Here is a 24,066-nt window from a genome sequence, read left to right as displayed (position 1 = left end):
TAGCCATTATTAGGATGAAGTGAGAAAAATGTGTACAAAGGGCCAGGAACAGAACTGCCAATAACCAAGAATCTCAATTAATATTGATTCTTATTACTCCTGCCTCCAGATCCTCACCTCCCTTTATTTTTCTGCCTTTCCTACAGTCACCCCTTTCAACATCCACCTCATATGGGCACGTATTAAAAATGCCACATGCAGGATTATAATGCAAATGGGTTCCTGTTTCTTCTTGTGGGTGTTCTTGCCCTGCCATTTGGTGTGAGCATGCTGTGCCACTCTGCTGAGGAAGTGTCATTAATAGCTGTTCAAGGCCTCACTGCCTCCCAAACACAACAGAAGAAGGTGACTTCAGCCCACATTATTACAAAATAAGATTCTTAAGAAAGCAGGAGTGGTTTAGGCCGGGTGCGGTGGCTCATGCCTGCAATCCCAGCACTTTGGGAGGCCAAGGCGGGTGGATCACCTGAGGTCGGGAATTTGAGACCAGCCTGACCAACATGGAGAAACCCTGTCTCTACAAAAAGTAGAAAATCAGCTAGGCATGGTGGCACATGCCTGTAATCCCAGCTACTCCGGAGGCTGAGGCAGGAGAATCTCTTGAACCTGGGAGGCGGAGATTGCACCATTGCACTCCAGCCTGGGCAACAATAGCAAAACTCTTGTCTAAAAAAAAAAAAAAAAAGAAAGAAAAAAAAAAGGCAGGAGTGGTTTAAAAGCAGATTTTTAAAAAAAGCAAATACACAATGTTAGAAAAAAAATATAAAACTAGAAATTATTTGGCATTTAGATGGGTATAGTTTATTGTGTGCTACAACTCACATACAGAAAGAACCAAAGACCCTTAAAGTAAAAACAATAATTTGTGGAGTATTTAATACCTATCAAGTAGTACGCTAGGCATCTTATAGGTGTGATGAAATTAATCATTATAGCAACTCTATGAGGGAGGTATTCCCCTTTTATAGATGAGAATGCTGAGGCTTAGAGAGGTTTGTCTGGTAAGTGCTTTATCTTGTAAAGGTGTAGAACCACATTTGCTTCTGGGTGCCCCTCCAAAGCTTGCATGTTTATTAACCAGTAAGGTGCATCAGGCTATGGAGTTACCCTGCGCAGAAGAGGCTTCACAGAAATCACTGTGGTGACAATGGTCCAGCTGAACTTTTGTTATTTTTTTCGAACAATATCAGCCTGGAAGTTCAGTCAAGGCTGTAAACTTATGGTGTAATCCAGCCCAACTCACTGACTGGCTGAAACAGAATCTCCTTTTGAGCCCTCCCACTCTCAGAAGTGTGATCTTTTGTGAGTCTCCCAAACTTAAAATAACCCAGGGGCCTTATGGCCTCCCAAGCAGTGGGATGCTTCCAACCAATCAATCCAAGACTGTGTGAGTGCTGGTGTCAAAGGCATTGTCCACTGCAGGATGTTGACAGTGAGTCCTCTGGCTTCCTCTGCTTAGTGCCTTATCAGTCGCTTATGCAGGCAACCTATAAGCTGAGCCCTGAGAGGGAACTCAGAAGTGCTTATCTACAGCAGAACCCCCTCTAAGGGAGTAAACTTCTAGGTCGCCTTGGGCCAATTCCACAGCTCTTTCTGTTTCTACTCCCAGAGTCTCACCAAATCAGAAAGTGGCTTTTGGCCCTCCTCTTCTCTGTGTACCTGGCTGCTGTCTGTCCTGGGTTTCAGTCTCAGTCCTTTCTGAAACTACCCCTTTCCTCTCCTGTGGCCACTGGCCTCCGTGACCCACAAAACATATACCTTTTCCCACCAACAAGCCTGACTCAGGGTTTGTCTCAGCTTGAATCAGAGGCTTTTCTACGCCAATACTAGCAATTAGGGGTGAGGGCTTCAACATAGGAATTTGGGAGGACACACTTAGTCTATAATACTGTGGCAGCACCACATCGGGGCAGTCTAATGATTCTACATCTGTCATGTCTGCCTCCCAAGCTGTGTACTCAAGGCCCAAGGGTGTCCTCCTTAGGAGCACCCTGCAGCTAAAGTCTGAAGTCTAGACCCTCCTCAGAGCAGGGCCCAGTTCTGTACAGATCCCAGCAGGGTCCGCAGTGTACTCTCTCCTCCTGGACAGTGCCCTGGGGAAATCCCTTTTGTAATCCAGAGGGAGGCTTGCTCTCCTTCTCGTGTCCCCCAGGCCTCTGCCTCTTCCTCAAACTGTGTCCACTTCCATGGGTTTGGTTCTTGGACAACCAAACCCAGGAGAATCTAAAAACTCTTCTGCTACCCATCATGCCCTGGGTCTCTCCTGAGGCAGTGAAACGAGAATGAGAAGTGGGCAGTGGTAGAGAACAGAAAACGTTTTGGAAAAAAACATAAGCTAATGGTTCAGACTATCACTCAGCCACAATACTATGCAAAGAATATCTGCTCAATACACAGTACAGCGGGGGCGCTCCTCCTCTCTCACTACAGGGACTGTAGGGGCTCTGGGACTCTCTCACTACAGGGACTGGCAGGTGCTCTGGGACTGGGGCCAGAAACTCAGGTCAAAGCCGCCCCTGCTGCACACCACTTAATGCCCCAAACTCACCTTCCTTCAGGGAAAATACGGAATGTCTTTAAAAGAATCAGGTCAAAAAATGTTGCTTTTCAGGCCGGGCATGGTGGCTCACACCTGTAATCCTGGCACTTTGGGAGGCCTGGGCAGGCGGATCACCTGAGTTCAAGAGTTCAAGACCAGCCTGGCCAACATGGTGAAACCCCATCTCTGCTAAAAAATACAAAAATTAGCCAGGCATGGTGGCGGGCACCTGTAATCCCAGCTACTCAGGAGGCTGAGGCAGGGAGAATTGCTTTGACACAGGAGATGGAGGTTGCAGTGAGCCGAATGCACTGCACTCCAGCCTTGGCAACAAAGTGAAACTCTGTCTCAAAAAAAAGAAAAAAAAAGAGTTCCTTTTCAGGAGTAACTGAAGTCGAATTATCTGACAGGTAGGGTTTCCAAAGTTCACACAAACATTGTTTCTAAAGTTTATACAAAAGCCTTATCTCTAGAGTATGAATACTATCAGGTATTGAGAAAGGGTATAACTCTACTCATTTCCCTAAAATGTACCCAGAAACTATGGACTAATATAGTGCATACTATAACCTATAATATTCAGAAGTGAATCTGTTTCACTCAAATAAATGTAGCTCTTTCTTCACTTGGTCATGACTTTCCTATTTCAGACATTTTAGGCACAAAGGCCTGCTTCAGGCACTTGAACAGTTGGATTTTGATGCAGGTTTTGATGCTTGAATAAGAATGAAGAGATGCCCTTCAAAACTTCTCTCCTTTTGAGCTGCAGATTCTTTTCATTTCTGATTCTCAAAAGCACAGCCTGGTCAAATCGTTTATCAGCTGTGATCTAAACAGAATGTTGCTTGTCTTTGGGTCTAACCAGCCTGTAGAGATGTCCCACACCTATCCTCAGGGAATGAAGGTCCCAGGAAGACTGGCATTCCACAGTGGACAACCCAAGGGCCCCTGGGGAAAGCCTCCTTCCACAAGCTGGTGATGGCAGGGTCAGCAGTCGAGTGTCTCTGAGAGCTGCTCCCTGACCTTTATGTGGCCAGGAAGGATACAGATGCATGTGAATGAGATTGGGCAGTGCCTGCTGAATTCATTAAATCAATATTCTGTGCACATCCCACTTAATCAGTAGACATAGTCTGGTTCTGTGCATTTTGTGGATAGCTGAAGGATTTTTGTGGCAAATACTAAACACTGAGCAAAGTGGGCTTCTCTGAAACCAAGTAGGTTTTTGAGCAGCCTCTTTCTGCTTTCAGTTGATGTGAGCTCAGGAAATGGGAATTGATTTTATCCTAGGCAGAACTTAATTAGAGAGGAAGATTGTTGCCAAAACACCCCAAGCTTCATTTCAAAGTCAAATCAAAATGATTTTTGTATTATTCACTGGTTCGGATTGCACAGATGCTCCAGGTTTGTATTTTAGCAGCACTGTATCAGAAAGTAGGTAGCCTTAACTATTCTTACCTTTGGAATCCGCTAAAATTTTCTTACCCACTTATTGTTAGATCCATGATAATAATCTGGAAGTTCCCAGATAAAGGTGAGGTAGGGAAAATAAAACCATCATGGGGAATGCTGGCAGAAATCACTGTAGGGTATAATTGGGAGAATAGAATTTAATACATTGCACATGTTTGTTCTCTCCCATGGATGGTGAGGTTTTTTGATTTTTGTTTTTTGTTTTGAGACAGAGTCTCACGCTGTTGCCTGGCCTGGAGTGCAGTGGTGATATGTGGGCTCACTGCAACCTCCACCTCCTGAGTTCAAGTGATTCTCCTGCCTCAGCTTCTCAAGTAGCTGGGATTACAGGCCCCCCAACCCCACCACGCCCAGCTAATTTTTTGTATTTTTACTAGAGACAAGGTTTTACCACGTTGGCCAGGCTGGTCTCGAACTCCTGACCTCATGATTATCCAGCCTTGCCCTCTCAAAGTGCTGAGATTACAGGTGTGAGCCAGCGCCTGGCAGTGAAGTTTTAAAAGTCTGGGTCCAGCCTTGTCTAACATCACAGACTTGCCATTATAGCTGGTATTTATCAAGCCATTCCTATACCAGGCTCTTTACATATAATTAATCCTCATAGAAAACCAGCAAGAGAGGCATAATGTTGCCTGTTTTACAGATAACAAGACTGAGGTTCTAAGTGGTTAAGTGACCCATCCAAGGTAACGCAGCTAGTAAATGGCTGAGTTGTTACTGGAATCTGGATTTGCCCAACACTGGAGTCTATGACTGAAAATTTTCAAATGAGAGACTTAAGTTGTATACTGTAGGGCCAGGCGTGGTGGCTCACGCCTGTAATCCCAGCACTTTGGGAGGCCGAGGTGGGCAGATCACTTGAGGTCAGGAGTGCAAGACCAGCCTGGCCAACATGGCGAAACCCCGCCTCTACTAAAAAACACAGAAATTAGCTGGGCATGGTGGCAGACTCCTGTAATCCCAGCTACTCAGGAGGCTGAGGGAGGGAGAACTGCTTGAACCCAGGAGGTGGAGGTTGCTGCAGTGAGCTGAGATTGCGCCATTGCACTCCAGCCTGGGTGACAGAGTGAGACTCCGTCTCAAAAAAAAAAAAAAAAAAAAGTTATATACTGTAGTTAACTTAAGATCAATTGATTTAACCTTCATTAGCTAAAATTGTAGAGGAAAACCTGTCATTAATAACAAAAATAGCAACAATTATCATTTTTTGGGTACCTTCTTTGTGTCAGGAATATTGCTAGGCACCTACATTCTTATTTCATTTAAGCCACAAAACAGCCCTATATATTGTTGTACATCTTTATAAATGATGACAACAAAACTCAGAGAGTTTCACTTTTGTGGAGGAGTTCAGAGTATACTGGGTCCCACAAAGGAAGATTAGACTATGGATCCAAGTTTAGGGTAAAGCTGATATATAAAAATAATAAAATCATAGAATTTTAGAGCCAAAAGGGATAGTCAAAATGACAAAGTCTAACTTTCTTACTTTTACATGTGGGAAAACTTAGGTTTAGACCCTCGCCTCCCCAAAACCACACACCAAATCCAAGACTAGAATACAGACTCAATTCAATGAATCAATTTTGTCTTGAGTTCCTACTATGTGCCATATATGGCCAGGTCTCTATCTCCCAAACCCAGGGCTTTTATCTGTCAGATGATATGCAACAGGAAGGACAAGGATGGGGACTGTGCAGCCAGGACGTTCAATGTAAGTTATGGGACTGACCACAGTTACTAAGAAAAATGTTCAGCCTGCCCTGAGGCAAGAGGGGAGGAGCCAGATCAGGAGCATCAGGTAAAACTTGATCCTAAATGTGAATGTCGAAACTACCAGTCTGAATTACTTTTGGAGTGACTTGTCTCCCATGAAGTGAAGTCCAAGCCTTTTGATTTGATCCTCACTGAACCCTAGGGTGATTTATTTTAATGCAGCTAATAAGAATAATGAGAAACATCTGTTTCTATAACAAAGGACCATATTCATCATGTTAGTGACTTATGAACTGCTGTGAGCATTTATGAAGATAAGAGCAGGCCCTGTTGTGCGTAAGGCAGGCACAGGTGCAGCTTCCTTTTGGCTTCAAGGGTATGAGACCTCTCTACCTTTCCAAGCCGAAAGCATGAAGTCCTGAAGCAATTTATTTATGAGACTCTTTTGACTCTAAACAATGGCACATAATTCCAAAAATTATGTTGAATGAAAAGAAAAGTATGACTGAGAAAAGTGAGCTCAATGAGTTAAGAGACTATGCAAGGTTATATGACTAATTAGTGGCAGCCACAGACTTGAGGCCTCCATCTAATTTCTATTTCATTCTCCCAATTTGCCTTTTTGGAATCTTTCACCACTATCAAATAGGATAGTAATAGTGTGCCTTCCTTTTCTCCAGATAAAAATGTCAGCAAAATGTCTTGCAATATTTGAAGGAGCGAATGTAAACTCAGTGTGTGGAAAAGCAGGCATTATCTCAAGCAGCATATCTCTAAAACTATAACAGGTTGAAGAATGATATTTCTAAAATTTTTCAATTTGACATTAGAAATATGCCTTCCATATGCAAAAATGCCATAATAAATCTATTTGTTAGGATACATGAAAAATGAGATTTGAATGGCCTGCCTTCTTTGGTCAGTTAAATGCAATGGCTGTTAGCCAGCCTCATCTAACTGTGTGTTCACAAGCCTATTTCCTTCATTAGTTAAAAATATGACTGTCTTTATAATAAAGGTGACCAGGCTGAGACAGGACTGATTTGGTGTTTTGGAATCCTGACAGCTAATGGGAATATAGCTATGTATTGCTTGGATCAGTATGGCTATTGTATCTACTGTGTATGAACGAATAATAATTGCCACTGCCAAAGAACTATGGCAGTAGTTCTTTTGAACTCAGAACTGTCTGAGCTCAACAGAACTCGGATAGTTCTGTTGACTTACCCATGCTGTAGGGCTGGGGATGGATGAGGCCAGACAGACACATGAGGAGCTGAGGAACGAAAGAAAGACACTTCTCTAATTGAGAGAGTCCCCTGTCAGCAGGGGAGAGGGCAGGGCTGGTGCAGGTCAGGACCCTGAGTCTGGAAAGATAGGATACATTCTTGGATCAAAGCCAGCATCAGGCATGACCATTCCTCCTTTTCCAGTCAAACTCATCTGGATGTTTGCCTAATAGACAGTCAAACATAGATCTTTCAAATAGTACGTTCTTCCTTCCCTTTACATACATTTTCCTCTTAAGAAAATTTCATTTTGCAGCCAATGATACCTAATGACTTTGACTATCAGCACACCAGCCTCAAATACATACCTCAGTGTCCAATGTCATGCATGTAAAAGGAGCTTATCACACAAGGGAAAATTCTGTTGCTTACCAATGAGGAGGCACCTCTAACACCAACAGTCAATGTATGTTTAGTGTAAATGATCAACTTGAATCTCCATCCTGCCTGGTTCCAGTTCTGCTGTGAGGCAATGTGTTAAGACCATAGAGTGCTACACCCACAGCCTCCCCAGCAATTTTGCAGGGTGTGGAAGGATTAGTTTTGCCACATTGTTAGTATAGGGCTCTGCATTTCAGCATTCTGTGGGGGCAGTGTACCCAGTGTACTCTTGCTAGGCATGAGACAATCACTTAGGCAACTTCATTGCCTAGTTTCGAACTGTGTCCTATATCTAATGAATCAAAATTGGTGGTAAGGGGAATGAAGCAGGTGGGACATGTGTAGTTTCAGAAAACATTCCAGGGGGTTCTCACCTATAGGCAGGGTGAGAAGCCAGCTTCCTGGGTTGAAGTCTGAAAAACATGCAACAAAAATTTTATTTGTCACTTTTGCCTCTGAATAATAACTGCTGAGGCATTCTAGGAATCTTTATAAAACTATAATGCCTCATGTTACTGCCCTCAGTTGAACTGTAATCTTTTTGGAGGAAGTTCTGCATCCTATTAAGTCAGAACTTCTTGAAACAGTTACCATGTGCCAAGCCCTTTGTACGACACAGTGAGTTAAACACGTTTCTTGTCTACAGAAAGCTAATGCTGAATCTACACTGTGGAAAATAACACTTTCATATATGAACAATTAGACAGGAATCTAGATTAAAGGAGCAAGTTGTACTGGAGGGATGATCCTGGTACATCTTGGTCCAGGTGCTGTTGGGGACTGTCCCTCTAGGAAGCCAGGGAGGCCTCTCCTGCTACTTCTCTTCCTCCCAATTGAAGAAACACTGGAGGGTGCTGATATGGTTTAGCTCTGTATCCCCACGCAAGTCTCATGTTAAATTGTAATCCTCAGTGTTAGAGGAGGTGATTGGATCATGGGGGCTGACTACCCCCTTGCTGTTTTCGTGATAGTGAGTGAGTTCTCACGAGACCTGTTTAAAAGTGTAGCACTTTCCCCTTAGCTCTCTTCCTCCTGTTCCTGCCATGTAAGACGTGCCTGCTTCCCCTTCACCTTCCTCCATGATTGTGAGTTTCCTGAGGCCTCACCAGCCATGCTTCCTGTACAGCCTGAGGAACCATGAGCTGATTAAACCTCTTTTCTTTTTCTTTTTTTTGAGATGGAGTCTCGCTCTGTCTTCCAGGCTGGAGTGCAATGGTGCGATCTCGGCTCACTGTAACCTCTGTCTCTTGGGGTTCAAGCAATTCTCCTGCCTCAGCCTGTGGAGTAGCTGGGATTACAGATGCCTGCCACCACGCCCGACTAATTTTTGTATTTTTAGTAGAGGCGGGGTTTCACCATGTTGGCCAGGCTGGTCTTGAACTCCTGACCTCAGGTGATCTGCCTGCCTCAGCCTCCCAAAGTTCTGGGATTACAGGCGTGAGCCACCGTGCCTGGCCTCTTTTCTTTATAAATTACCCAGTCTCAAGTAGTTATAGCAACACGAGAACAGACTAATACAGGGGCAGTGCATCTGCAGTGGGTACAGCAGTCCCCATAGGATTAGGATGGGGCAGCACGGAAGGGAAGAATTGAAGAAAGGCTGGAACATCTAACAATGCCATAGATCTATGGGGTAAGTACGCAATAGGACTGTAGGTTAAAAGAAGGGAGGGAGATGGTGATAATGAAAGTAGAAGAAAAGGAAGCAATAAGAGCCCAGAATTCTGCCTTCTGCCTGGTACACTGGGAGCTCAGCATGTGTGGTTTCCCCAGCTGTGCATTTTGAGTGTAATAGTCCAGGGCTCTGCTTTCCATCCCTGGATCTGGCCACTAGACTTCTAGTTTTCTTATTTGTTCATTCTCTATTGCAAGGCTGTGGTTTTGAAGCTACAGGGAATCAGTGGGAGATAGGAAGCTCCAAACTGCAGAAAATTGTAGGACCAGCTGAACCAAACTACAACCACTGAAATCACAATGACCTCGGAACCAAACAAGGCTTATGTGAGAAACGGAACGTTGTGAAACAGGTTATTTATATTCTCATAAAACTATTGCTGGGGGAAAAGGCAAATGGGGTTCTGGTAGCAAAGTCAGCAGCAACATCCCTTTAAAAGTCTGAAGGATTCTAAAAATGTACTGGGAGGAGTGTTTCTATTCTAATAAAGAAGCAAAGTATGTTTTCCTTTTAAACAACCAGGGGAAAAATATTTATGTCTATCTCAAAACTGGAGCCCAAAGTTTAATTTTGAAAATAATGAATGTCTAAAGCTGAAATTGTTTTCTAAAAAAAAAAGAAAGAAAGCAAGAATGCACTGGTAGGTAATAGCATTACTCATACAATGTATATTATTAGCAGGACTTTCCATCCAGATCTTAATGTATAAATAAATCACAAAAATTGTTAATTTACATAAACTCACCAGAAAAAGGAAATTATCCTGAGTTTACATGACAAAAATTACTGTATCAAGTAGGAATGTGGGTTTTTGATTTCTAAAACGTCAAAGATCAAATTTCCTTGACACAGTAACCTGTGACATTTTAACCAAAAAGCACGTGGCTTCTAAAGGGTGTGCCAGCCAGCCAGCCAGGCACCAAGGGCCCAACAGTTTTTCTGTGAGGTACCTGTGTTAGTCCCAGTTGTACTACCCAGCAGTGTTCACCATAGTACGAGAAATTTAATGTAAGCATAGTTGAAGAATCTAAATTCTTCCAGGAAGGGTATCTAACTCTCAATATGGAGAAAATACATTTTTCAGAGACATAAGAATACAAAAGAAGGTAGCTATAGGTGTGTTTATGACTAAGAAGAGTTAGTCATGCATGTCCCACCACCCCAAACCTAAAAATCTCATGTAAGTATTGCCCTAAGACTTCAGGCATTCACAGAGGCTAAGCAGGGCCAACTAGTCCTTTCTTGCTGGATGCCTTGCAATTCCCACCAGAGATCAACAGGGTGCCAGGTGGCTTGGGAGTGCTTCCTTAGTCAGCCACTCCATCTGGCCATGTCCCATCTCTAGAAAGAGCCTTTTTGCCCCTAAGTGTCAGTTTCCCAACTTGCAGAGCCACGTTTAGATGACCAATCTACTAGTACTATAAAATTTCATTATATTATTATTTTAAATTAGAAACCTCTGGATTATTTTCATTGGAAATTAAAATATAATTAAGTTGACAGTTGAATGCTCAGAAAGAAATGAGCAAAGTAAAAATTTCTACTAAGAGTGTTATATTTCCAGACAAAATTTGCTTCCTGGTAACTAACTCTACCATAATGCCTTCAGTCGCTTGTGTTTGTTTCCTGATATACTCAGCAGGGATAATTTCTCTTTTGAATGTGTTTAATCAAACTGACTAGATTAACAGCACATGTTCAAAGTTTTCTTTGCAAAACTCACATTTTGACTTTCATGTGTTGAATACTGCACTAGCAGTCAATTGATAATAAAAATGTTTGTCCAACTTCTTGAATTCCCATGCTACAGATTTCATATTGGCACTTAAAATTTGAAATTAGGCATTCATTGAATTCATTCTCCAGATTTAAAAATGTACTGTAAAGACTACAGATTTACCACAACTTTAAAAATTCAAGGTGGTTTTGGATAATACTCTGTGAAGAAAGTTATGATCTTCTTAATCTTTGTCTAAATAGTTCCTGAAGCAACTTCAAGAACAGGGAGTGGGAAACTAAACTGAAATAAAACTGGATCATGAAGGTATTCATTTACATGATTAATAGTTCAATAATTTTTTTTCCTCACAATTGTGTGGGTTGCCTGGGTGGTTCTTCTGTGATCTCTTCTGACATCATTCATGTGGCTACACCCCTAGAGCAGATGGGCTGCAGGCTGGGCTCACCCGGAGCTGTCAACCACAGCATATTGATCTTATAGCATGTGGTTACTCCGCATAGCCAGCTTGGGCTTTCTTACAGTATGGCAGTCTCAAGGCAGAATTCTTAGAGGGAGCATTTCAAGAGTGTGAAAACAGAACTTTAAAAACTTTAAGCAGAAGCCATAAGACCTGCCGTATTTTATTGGTCAAAGCAAGTAACAAAGCCAGCCCAAATTCTAGGGGAGATGAATTAGACTCCACCTTTTAAGGAGACAAGTGGCAAAATCACCTTGCAAAGAGTTGTGGGATTGGAGATACTGATGCAGCCATATTTGGAAACCATCTAGTACACTCCACCTCCTACCTAAAATAATTCGCATTCCTCTCACATGTAAACTGCACTAATCATCAACCGCCTCCACGGGCACATCCTATTATGGCATCTGCTCAAAGTCCAGGGTCTAGTCATCTCAGTCAGCTGCTAGTGTAGTGGGATGCGGTTCCCCATGTTTCTGTGTGTGCTCAGATGTGCCTTCTCTCCATCTGGAAACCAGTGAACTAAAAAGACAAGTTATCTGCCCCCAACACACTCAACACACAATGATGAGGCAAGGACAGGAAAAGTTCTGCAGACAAATGATTATATACTGTGCACAACTGGGGCCCTGAAGAGAGAAGAGAATAACCAAGGGGAAAAAATGGGGAGGTACTGCCCCCAGGAAGATGGATTAGGAGTCCATGCAGTCTTCTGGCAAGGGATCATCATGAAACCACCACTGTTTCCTGAGCGTTTGCTCCTGTCAAGGCACTGTTTGGAACATTCTCCAACATGCTTTCTCATTTGACCTTCACCACAAATTTAAGAAAGGTGCTTACCTGATAAATGAGAAAAAAACAAGCTAAATCGAGACAACTCACATAAGCTACATGGCAAAAGTGTTTGGAGGTGAGAAAGTGGAAGGTGGCTTTGAACTTCCTAGCTTGGATTTTAACTGGAATAGGGAAAGTAGAACATGTAATAGGATGTGGGAAAGTTGAATTAACCTTTGTCCATGTGGATTTTGAGGTGCCTGCAGGATATTTACAAAGAAGAACTGAGTGAAGGCTGGAAATACAGACTTAGATTGGCTTTCAGGGGACCCTAACAGTATTTCTCTACAGACATTGAAAAGTGGTCAGGCCAGGCGTGGTGGCTCACGCCTGTAATCCCAGCACTTTGGGAGGCCGAGGCAGGTAGAACACCTGAGGTCAGGAGTTCAAGACCAGCCTGGCCAACATGGCGATAACTCATCTCTACTAAAAATACAAAAATTGCCCAGGTGTGGTAACGCGCACCTGTAATCCCAGCTGCTTGGGAGGGTGAGGCAGGAGAATTGCTTGAACCCAGGAGGTGGAGGTTGCAGTGAGCTGAGATTGCACCACTGTACTCCAGCCTGGGTAACAGAGCAAGATTCTGTCTCAAAACAAAAAAGAAAAAAGAAAAGTGGTCTGGGGATGAAATGCTGGCAAAACCCAGCACCTGCCTAATTCTTGCTTGTCGTAGTTGAAAGTTGCTTATCTATGACCTGGCATTTCTAATATATCATTGTGGGCCACAATGGTGGGCTGATTCAGGGCTGATTTTCCTGCCAGCTGTGATACCACAATTCTTATCCCAGATCCTGTGACGTTGCACAAGAAAGCTCTACTTCTAGTGAGTGATATCAGTTTAGAATATTCTCACCTCTGTGCAAGGGAGACTGGAAAGGCGCATCCTTTGCCTGCTCCTACATTTGAGAAAAATTAGATTTATTTTTGGCAAGTGAGAAGTCTTTGTGGAGGACAGACCTTGTGTTTTAGTCTACCTTTGGTTTAATTGTAAATCAATTGCAATTGAAAGCAAATATCAACTGCTGTGACACTGCCTCGTTATAAATCAAATAAAAACAATAGCCTCTTGAGGATTAAAAATCAGGGCAATTGCAGTACTTCAGATATTTCTTGATGCCCTCAAGGGAAATTGTTCTTGCATCTTAGAAAGCTTCTCCTGGAGGTAGACAGAAAGAACAGTAGTGCAGTGTTTTATTTTTACTTAGAGTCACCCTTTTAAAAAATAATAAAAATAACTGGTTTCACTGTAAGGTCCATTTTAACTTTTAGCTGGTTACTAGGTTATATAACCCTTTGGTGTAGGGTAGGCAAGAACACAGATGGTACAATGTTTCCATAGCAACAGCACTTAGGCTTGTTTTCTGCCTGTCAGTTTTTTTCAACATCATATTCCTTTTAAGCAGAGGCTCTCACTCTCTCACCCTTCTCCCTCTCCCATTTTTCCTCCTTTTCTGCCTCTTCTCTTGCAATCTCCTCTACTAACCACTCTGTCTCAGAAGACTAGAAAAGAATAAGGACATTTCAGATAACTTTCTTCTGGGTTTTCAGTCTTTAAATTATTCAAACTTTAAATATGACTCTGAATAAACTATGTTTCCATCATAAAACTGCATTACTTACATGTCTCTCTTTTACTTAAATAGGAGTATGAGGCAATTATGAGGCTGAAAGTTACCCAAATTAGACCATTTTTCTTAACGTTTGAGTTGAGACAAGGTCACATAAGCCCAGATAGGTAGGCATGTATCCTTAAGGACTCCTGGAACAGATTCTGCTACCTCTTTAGGTAAAACTAACTTATAGCCACTCTCACATTAAGTGCCTTCCTTGACTCTATCTCAGTGGGCTCTTACTTAAGCATATTAATTACAAATCTGGAGCCTATATTCCAATTTGCCCCTCTGTAACATTCCTAAGCAGATTAACTGACAAGCACACTTTGGGTTTCTGCACTTGAAAATCAGATCTTTCGTAGGAATACTTCCAGGCCCTGTTCTCCCTGAATCTTATCTATAAGCAGAAACTACATTTTATCTCTTGTTTTTAGAATGTCACCCCCTCAGGGAGGTCTTCCTGGACCCTGGTTATTTTCTTAGTTCCCTGTACACTCCTATAATTGTAATTTATATATTTTTTATTTGATGACTTGTTTATCCTCTGTCTCATCCAGTAGACTCTAAGGTCTATGAGGGCACAGACCGTTTTTGAAATGTTTAACATTGTATTCCTAGTATTTCAGACACAATTTGGCTCATTGTAAGCATTTTAAAAAGTGATTTTCAAATGAATGAATGTTTCCTTTTTGATAAACTCATTTTAGACTTTTGTTGCAAAATAAAACTGAATCTATTTTTTAAATTCGAAGTGTTGGTATGGTTTCTGTTTCCCTTTTTACTTTGGCGGCTAGGAAGCTCAGAGCTAAAGCTGTTGCTCAATGTAGCTACTAAGCTAGCATATTTGTTTCCTGGGTTTTTTTGTGGGGGGTGGGGAGCTTGATTTTTTTCTTTACTATTGTAGTTGCATATTTTTTTAAGCCATCTCAACTACTTCTTAAAAGCAAGCAATGCAAAATAAATAAAATAAATATAATAACCTTCATAGTAAAAATGAATTTTCAGGGATTCCCCCAGAGAGAATGATGTATATTATGATAGGTTAACTCTATTAAATACGGACATGAATGGTGACCAAACAAACTTTAAGTGGTAGAAAATTAAAAGGCTTTTTAACTCTTCAGCTGAATCAACTGAGGACTATATCAAGTGAGAATAAGTATGTATTATACATAAAACTGATCACATTTATCAACTAAATGGTTTAACTTTGTTTTAAAGGGTGAAATACACTTGAATTGCTGAAGCATTACTTTACTAAATTAAAAATATATATTTCTGCAGACACACTTAAAACTCCTTCTCACCAGGCAAGGTTGCTCACGCCTGTAATCACAGCACTTTGGGAGGCTAAGGCAGGTGGATGACTTGAGCCCAGGAGTGGGAGACCAGCCAGGGCAACATGGTGAAACCCTGTCTCTACAAAAACATTTTTTAAAAAAAATTAGCTGGGTGTGGTGCTGCATGCCTATAGTCCCAGCTACTTGGGAGGCTGAGGCAGGAGGATCACCTGAGCATGGGGACATCAAGGCTGCAGTGAGCCATGATTGTGCCACTGCACTCCAGCCTGGGCCACAGAATAAGACTCAGTTTCAAAAAACAAAACATTCCTTCCGTCTGTGGTCTATAGCGTTGCCTCTTGCCTTTTTACAAGGAAGAAAAACTTGTATAAACATCATGATTCATGGGTTTTAATCACTTTAGGTAAACAGTGCTGCCAGATGATCCTGGTTTGCAGATTCAGGACATGAAATCCTTCAACTGACACTGAGATTTGTTTAGAGTTGATGGTGGGAGAAGAGAGAGAGCTTGAGGGGGGACTCCTGAGATGATTTTAAGTATCATGGCTAGAAAAAGAAGCTGTAGTGAGGGAGCAAATCAATGACATCAGTGTCACCTGGGAAGATGGTGTGACAGTGAGGATTTATTAATAGAAAGGGCAACTGGGTAAATGTCACACTTAAAAAATAAATGATTTAGTGGCAAAAGAAGCTGGGAACCCACTTCAGATGAAAGACATAAGTGCTTTTCTCAGCATTAAGGAAGATAGACAGTGTCTATATTCTGTGCCTAAAGGGACAGGAATGAAAATGAGAGGAATCAGTTTGGTTTTCTCCCAGCTCCCGGGTGAGCTGGTGGGGGCCTGGTTAAATGCAGGTTCTGAACCAGATTGAGAATGGAGGGTCCATTGGCTTCCTCTGTCCCCATGCCTGGTTCTGTGGGGCAGGAGACTGTAGTGAGGGACAAATGGAGACTGATCTGCCTTCTGCCTACTGTGACTTTTCCTCTCCGCAGAGCAAGGGGCAGAGTGTCCTTCACCACACAGAGTCCCATGCTGTACCCTGGAAAACACTCAACTGCCAAGCCCCCATTTTGCTTTATCTTCACTTTCTTTCTGTGAATCTGGGCTCACGGCTAAGCTCATAATAGGGTGCATTGCTTTTCAGGAGTTAAAGGGAGTTAAATGTTGTGGGTGAATGGCAATTATCTGGGCCAGTGGCATGGGAGTAAAAAAATTTTAAAAGACAGTTGTAGGTAAAGAAAGGCAGATTCATTAGAGAAAGTAAGAAAATATGTTGCAAGGTTGCAATGGGCAGAATTAGCACAAGAGGAGCTGACTGCAAAGAAACAAAGACTTGCTAGGGATTTTATAGAATAATGCTTGTGCTGAGGAGAGCTTTGTGCAGTACTGATAGTGCCAAGGTTGCAGTGAGCTAACTTGCAGGTGTCTGGTGATAAGATGGGTGCAAAACGATAGTGAGTTATTTGCTCAGGAGGGCCATGTGTCCTAGGCCGTGAAGAAAGTCCGACATAGCTTATCTGCTTTCTTGTTTTGCTTTCTCCTCAGCCCCACCAGCCTAACTCATTTTCGCTAATTAGGACTCCACACTAAGTAATCATACCCATATTGCCTCTGGATTCTGAACCAATTGAATAAAAACAAACAAAAGCTGATGTGTAGAGGGTATTAGTCTTGTTGTAGTGGTGTTTCTTTCTAGCCATTTCCCTGCTCGAATAGCACTCAATTTCTATTTGCAGAATGTCCTCTCCCCTGTTGTGGGCAGTTTTGATGGAACAATTAATAAGATGTCTGCCCCGTCCTAGCCAATTGAATCCGTTCCACAGCTGACAGACGTTTGGGTTGTACTCAGTGTTTTGCTGTAATTAAAAGAGCTGGTATAGGGTGGATCACCTGAGGCCAGGAGTTTGAGACCAGCCTGGCCAACATGGTGAAACCACATCTCTACTAAAAATGCAAAAATTAGCCGGGCATGGCAGCAGGCACCTGTAATCCCAGCTACTGGGGAGGCTGAGGCAGTAGAATTGCTTGACCCAGGAGGCGGAGGTTGCAGTGAGCTGATATTGCACCATTGCACTCCAGCCTGGGTGACGAGAGTGAGATTCCATTTCAAAAAAAAAAAAAAAAGATCTGTTATAAATATTATTACATGTCTCTTCATGTTTAGTGCAAGAAAGGGTATTTGCTGGGTCATAGAGTATACAAGTTGTTGCTAAAGTATTTTCCATAGTGGCGATCCAAATTTGCACTTCCCTAAGAAGTGGATGAGAGTTCTCATTGTTCTGTGATCATGCTAACACTTAGTATTTTCCAAAATTTTAATTGTTCCCACCTGCCTACAGTAAAATACTATAACATTGTTTTTAATTTGCATCCATCTGGTATTGAATGAGGTTGAGCACTTTTTTTTTTTTTTTTGAGACAGAGTTTTGCTCTTGTTGCCCAGGCTGGAGTGCAATGGCGCAATCTTGGCTCACTGCAACCTCTGCCTCCCAGGTTCAAGCGATTCTCCTGCCTCAGCCTCCCTAGTAGCTGCAATTACAGGCATGTGCCACCACACCCGGCTAATTTTGTATTTTAGTAGAGACAGGGTTTCTCCATGTTGGTCAGGCTGGTCTTGAACTCCCGACCTCAGGTGATCCGCCCACCTCGGCCTCCCAAAGTGCTGGGATTACACGCATGAGCCACCGCGCCCAGCCGAGGTTGAGCACTTTTTATTTTTTATTTTTTATAACTTCATTAAGATATAATTCGTCTACCTTACAATTCACTCATTTAAAGTATACAGTTCAATGGCTTTTAGTTTATGCAGGCTGTGCAACCATCACAAACAATTTTAGAATATTTTCATCACCCCCAAGAGCAACCCTGTACCCATTAGCAGTTATTTCTCAGTCCCCCTCAAGTTCCTCTGCCCTGATGACTTTATGTCTCTATAGATTACTTACTGTGGACATTTCCTATAGCTGGAATCATACAATATGTGGTTGTTTGTGACTGGCTCCTTCAACTTACCATAAAGTTTTTAAGGTTTATTCATGTTTTAGTGCATACCAGTACTTCCTTCTTCTTTACTGCTGAATAATCTTCCATTGTACGGATATGCCTCATTTTATTTATCCATTCATCATTTGAATGTTATAAAGAAATACAACACATAGATTGTTTCTACTTTTAGCTATAATGAATAATGTTGCCATGAACGTTCATGTACATATTTTTGTGTGGATATATATTTTTATTCCTTCTGGCTATACACTTAGGAGTGGAATTGCTGAGTCATGTCGTGACTCTATGTTTAACCTCTTGAGGAACTGCTAGACTATTTTCCAAAGTCGCTGCACCATTTCATATACCCACCAGTGTTGTATGAGGGCTTCACTTTCTCCATATCTTCACCAATTTATCTGTCTTTTGATTATAGTAATTCCATGTGAAGTGATGGCTCAATTTGGTTTTGATTTACATTTCCATTGTGGCTAGTGATGTTGAGTATCCTTTCATGTGATTATGGGCCATTTGTACTTCTTCTTTGGAAATATGCCCATTCAGATCCTTTGCCCACTTTTAAATTGGGTTGTCTCTTTATTGTCAAATAGTAAGAGTTTGTAATATGTCTTACATACACGTCTCATCAGATATAGAATTCACAAACATTTTCTGCCATTTGGTGGGTTGTCTTTTCACTTTCTTGATGGTATTCTTTGAAAGACAAAAGTTTTAAATTTCGAGGATGTCCAATTTATCTCTTCTCTTCTGGTGCTTGTCTTTTTGGTGTCATATCTAAGAAATCATTGCCATGTTCAAAGTCATGAAGATTTTTGCTTATGTTTTCTTTCTAGAATTTTATAATTTCAGCTCTCAGGTTAGATTTATTTTGACTTAAATTTTGTATATAGTGTTAGGTATGAGTCCAACTTCATTCTTCTGCATGTGGATCTCCAGTTGTCTCAGCACCATTTCTTGAAAAGACTATTTTTTTCTCGTTGAATTATCTTAGCACACTTGTTGAAAATCAATTGACCCTAAATGTGAGGACTTATTTCTGGACTCTCAATTCTATCCCACTGATCTATATGTCTTTCTTTTCCTTCCTTCCTTCCTTCCTCCTTCCTTCCCTTCCCTTCCTCCCTTCCTTCCATCCTTCCTCTTTCTTTTCTTTTTTCTTTTCTTTTCTTTTCTCTTTCTTTCTTTTCTCTCTCTTTCTCTCTTTCTTTCTCTCTCTCTCTTTCTTTCCTCTTCCTCTTCTTCTTCTTTCTTCTTTTTTTTTGTTGACAGAGTCTTGCTCTGTGCCCAGGCTGGATTGCAGTGGTGCGATCTTGGCTCATTGCAACCTCCACCTACCTGGTTCAAGCGATTCTTGTGCCTCAGCTTTTTGAGAGGCTGGGATTACAGGTGCCTGCCACCACACTTGGCTAATTTTTGTATTTTTGGTAAAGATGGGGTTTTGCCATGTTGGCCAGGCTGATCTCGAATTCCTGACCTCACTGGATCCACCCGCCTCGGCCTCCCAAAGTCCTGGGATTACAGACAGGAGGCACTGCGCCTGGCCTATATGTTTTTCTTTATGCCAGTACAAAACTGTTTTGACTACTGCAGCATTGTAGTAAGTTTTGTAATTGGGAGGTATGAATTTTCCAGATTTCCATTTTCATCTGGAATCTTCTTTTACAAGATTGTTCTGACTATCCAAGGTCCTTTGAATTTCCATATGAATTTTAGGTTCAGCTTGTCAATTTCTGTAAAGAAACCAGCTGGAATTTTGATAAGGATTGCATTGAATCTGTAAATCAATTTGGGGAATACAGTCTGCCACCTTTACAATATTAAGTCTTCCATTCTGTGAACACAGAATGTCTTTTCATTTATTTAGGTATTCTGTAATGTTTTTCAATAAGGTTTTGTGGCACATTGCAATGGTCCATGCCTGTAATCCCAGCTCTTTGGGAGGCCAAGGTGGGAGGATTGCTTGAGCCCAGGAGTTCAAGACCAGCCTGGGCAATATAGTGAGAACCTATCTCTACAAAAAAATTTTTAACAAATCAGCATAGTGGCACATGCCTGTAGTCCCAGCTACTTGGAGGTGCTGAGGTGGGATGATCGTTTGAGCCCAGGAGTTCAAGACCAGTCTGGGCAATATAGTGAGAACCCATCTCTACAAAAAAATTTTTTAACAAATCAGCACAGTGGCACGTGCCTGTAGTCCCAGCTACTTGGAGGTGCTGAGGTGGGAGGATCGTTTGAGCCCAGCAAGTCGAGGCTGCAGTAATCCGTGATCACACCACTGCACTCTAGCCTGGGTGACAGAGCAAGATCTTGGCCACCTTTCCACCAAAAAACCCAGAAGGTTTTGTAATATCAGAGTATAAATTTTATACTTCTATTAATGTACAAGTATTTTAATCTTAAATATTTTGTTCTTCTGATGCTATTTTAAATGGAATTGTTTAATTTTATTTTGTTTGTTTATTGTTACTATCTATAAATCCAATTGATTTTTGTATGTTGATCTGTGTCCTACAACCTAGCTGAACTCACTTATTATTAGTTCTAATAATTTTTTAGTGGAATCCGTAGGATTTTCTAAATACAAGATTATGTCATCTTCAAATAGAGGTAGTTTTACTTCTTCATTTTCCAACTGGATGCCTTTTATTTTATTTTCTTGCCTAATTGACCTAGCTAGAACATGCAGTACAAAGTTAAATAGAAGTAGCAAAAACCAACATTCTTTTCTTGTTCCTGATGTTAAGGGGAATGCAACCAATCTTTTACCATTAAGTATGACAAAAGCTGTTCTTCATAGATGCCCTTAATCAGATTGAGGAATTTCCCTTCTACTTCTAGTTGATTGAGAGTTTTTATCATAAAGGGTGTTGAATTTTGTCAAATGCATTTTCTGTGTCTACTGAAATGATCATATGGTTTTTATTTTTTGGTGTATTATATTAATTGATTTCAGATATTGTTTGGTCATTTTAAAATACATTCACAGGCCATTTGTTTTCTTCTCTGAAATACTATTAATATCATTTGCCCATTTTCTACTGGATTATTTGTCTTTTCCTAACTGACTTGTAAAAACTTTTAATATAGCCGAATATCTTTATCAGTTACATGTGTAGCCAATATTTCCCCCAAATTTGTAGTTTGTTCTTTCCCTCTTTTAATGACATCTCCCGATGAACAGCAGATTCCTTTTTTTTTTTAAGACGATGTTTCTCTCTTGTTGCCCACACTGGAGTGCAATGGCGCAATCTTGGCTCACTGCAACATCCACCTCCCGGGTTCAAGCCATTCTCCTGCCTCACTCAGCCTCCCGAGTAGCTGGAATTACAGGCATGGGCCGCTATGCCCAGCTAATTTTTGTACTTTTAGTAGAGACGGGGTTTCTCCCTGTTCATCAGGCTGGTCTCAAACTCCTGATCTCAGGTGATCTACCCGCTTCAGCCTCCCAAAGTGCTGGAATTACAGGCGTGAGCCACCATGCCTGGCCTGAACAGCAGATTCTTAACCTCAGTGTTATAAAATTTTGAAATCTTTGCTCTGTGGTTTGTATCTTGGAGATCTGTTTATGAAATCCTTCACTTCTTCCCAAGATAAGCACATAATCCTAAATTGTCTTGTAAAGTTTTGCCATTCATGGTTAGACCTCTACTTAATCTGAACTTAATTTTTTTATTTTAAGATGTGAGGTAGGATCAGATGTCCTGTTTCCCATGTGAATATCCAGTTGTTTTGGACACGATTAATGTAGTTTCTCAGATTTGCTAAGACTCCTCCAGGGTCCTCAGCTGATGGCTCTTGAGGAGCTCCTGATAACTCCATGGCTACCGAAGCTGCTGCCTCATCTACCAGCACTGCCAGCTGTCTTGACCTTTCCCATAGAGAGTACCAGCTCCTGCATAGCCTCCATCTACCCATTGCTGTGGGAGCACCAGTTGATCTGACACCCACGCCCAAGCAGAAGGAACACATAGTGTCTCTGGCTCCCCATGCCACTGCCCACTGTAGGGGAGGCAGAAATTTACTTGTACCTATCCTTAGTGCTTAGTTGGGACAGATCCTCATGGTAAAAGACAGATTCACAAGAGAATTAATTATTATTATTATTAATACGTGCAGTGCATATCATGCAGGAGAAGCCTCAACAAAGAATAGCTCAAAGCAGTAGCTTAAAACTCCTGCTCATATAGCATCTTCAACCAAGAACAATAACTTTGTAGAGAAATGACAGGACAAAGGAAAGCAGTTCTAAATAATATCTTCAAATTTGTCTTCTAATTCAACAATGTAGTTTTCAGCTTTACTAAATTCTGTATTTTATTCCAAAATGAAAACATTTTAAATTATAATATTTATTATTTCTGTTAATATAGTCAAGCTTCTCTATTCTTCAAATACATTAAACATTATTTTATCATCTGCATTTGATAATTCCAGTGTCTGAAGTTTTTGGGTTTTTTTTTTTTTTGAGACAGAGTCTGGCTCTTGTCATCCAGGCTGGAGTGCAGTGGCACTATCTCAGCTCACTGCAACCTCTGCCTCCTGGGTTAAGGCTATTCTCCTGCCTCAGCCTCCTGATGAAGTTTTAAGGCCTAATTCTGCCATCTCTTGTCACTGTTTGCTGTCATGTCTTAATTTCATTTGCATTTGAGATGGCTGATTGTAAATGGCTTTGTCTATATTGATTATTTTGAGATTTTTGTTGAAGGATTTGTGTTTATATCTGCCAGTTACCTTGGGCAATATACATTGGCACTACTTTAAATCTTCCTCTTGAGGTTTTTCAGAACACACAGCTTCCATGAAAAATGACTACAAACCTCCATGAAGACTGAATTGTATTTTCTAATATGCAATGTATTTTTTTCCTCCCCACACCAGGATGGAAATTGACTGGCTTCCTCATGGTCTGCTGATCTTACTGCTTACTCATCCATTCACTGAAGGGTCCTTAGAGGTCCCATGTCTATGCAGGTGTCTCTTTTCAGACTCTTCACCCAAATAGACTAGGCTTTACCTTCTGTTTCCTCAACGCTGCCTCTGTAGCTGTCAAGGTAGAATTTCAAAATATCTAGGACTGGGCAGAATCCTATAGAGAAAAGCTGGCCCATGTTACCTTGTCCCTCACCCCTGACACCACTAGGTAGGGTTCTGCTTTAATTTCATTTTTGGCCTCTATGAGTTTCTGCTTCTTGTATAAACACACAGTGTACCATAAAAGATAGTTCTTATATATCTCTAGCATTTTCACTATTTTAATTGGAAAAGTCATGTATTGTCTGTAGTCCACCCCACTGCCTTCAATGAAGGTATACAGTTGTTTAAAAATTGTCATTAGTTAACAACATTTTAAACTAAGATTTCCATGATAATACAGATTTACCAGCCTCTCTTGAAAAATTATAATGTCTTGGCAACACTGGGCTCTCATTTGCCCAAAGAGCTGGAATAAGGTAGTATACCATCAAGAGGGTTTAAATTCACCTATTTGTAAATATCTCAATCACTGTTAATTGTTCTACGCCCAGCAGAAGGCATTTGAGTTTGTGATCCATGCAATTGAGAGAGTGGTCTAGACCTAGACAGCCTGAATTTTATTCTGAGCTCTGCTACTTACTGGCTACAGAAGCTCAGAAAATTCACGTAACTCTTGGAATCTCAGGGTCCTCATATCTAAAATGGAAATAATAATAGGACCTACCTCATACACGTGTGGTAAGTATTAAAGGACGTTATGCATGTCTTTCAAGTCTAAGTTTGAAATTTTTAAGGTGGCTTATATGGTGTCCCCACAATCTGGTCCTGCCGACTTCTCCAGCCTCATTTCTACCCTCTCCCTTTTATTCTATGCTCAAGCAAATGAGAAATCTTTCCATTTTTATCTTGACTTTTTGTATTTATATCTGCTGTCATCTCTGCCTAGAATACTGCCTCCTCCCACACCCCAGGCTAATATCCATTCATACTTCAAGATTCCATTTAACTTTAATTCCTTATGGGTACCTCCTCATAGTCTTAAGACTAGGCTAAATCCCCTATATA

At 41.3% G+C, this 24,066-nt stretch overlaps 1 protein-coding gene across 4 annotated transcripts in view, besides 1 other annotated feature; it reads right to left on the bottom strand.

The window, feature by feature from the left end:
* Nucleotides 1–24,066, bottom strand: part of SH3BGRL2 (SH3 domain binding glutamate rich protein like 2) — a 166,023-nt gene that overhangs the window by 87,138 nt on the left and 54,819 nt on the right. The gene's annotated exons all lie outside the window — the stretch shown is intronic.
* Nucleotides 7,312–7,606: a silencer, noted in NCBI's record as "tiled region #10526; K562 Repressive non-DNase unmatched - State 6:EnhF". NCBI's record gives its function as "represses a minimal TATA promoter and a strong SV40 promoter by Sharpr-MPRA in K562 cells {active_cell/tissue: K562}" and the evidence as "EXISTENCE:reporter gene assay evidence [ECO:0000049][PMID:27701403]".

Source organism: Homo sapiens, chromosome 6, assembly GCF_000001405.40.
Source record: "Homo sapiens chromosome 6, GRCh38.p14 Primary Assembly".
In the NCBI taxonomy this organism is placed as follows: domain Eukaryota; kingdom Metazoa; phylum Chordata; class Mammalia; order Primates; family Hominidae; genus Homo; species Homo sapiens.
The sequence above is the reverse complement of the archived record's forward strand: the minus strand, read 5'-3'. Positions and strand labels throughout refer to the sequence as shown.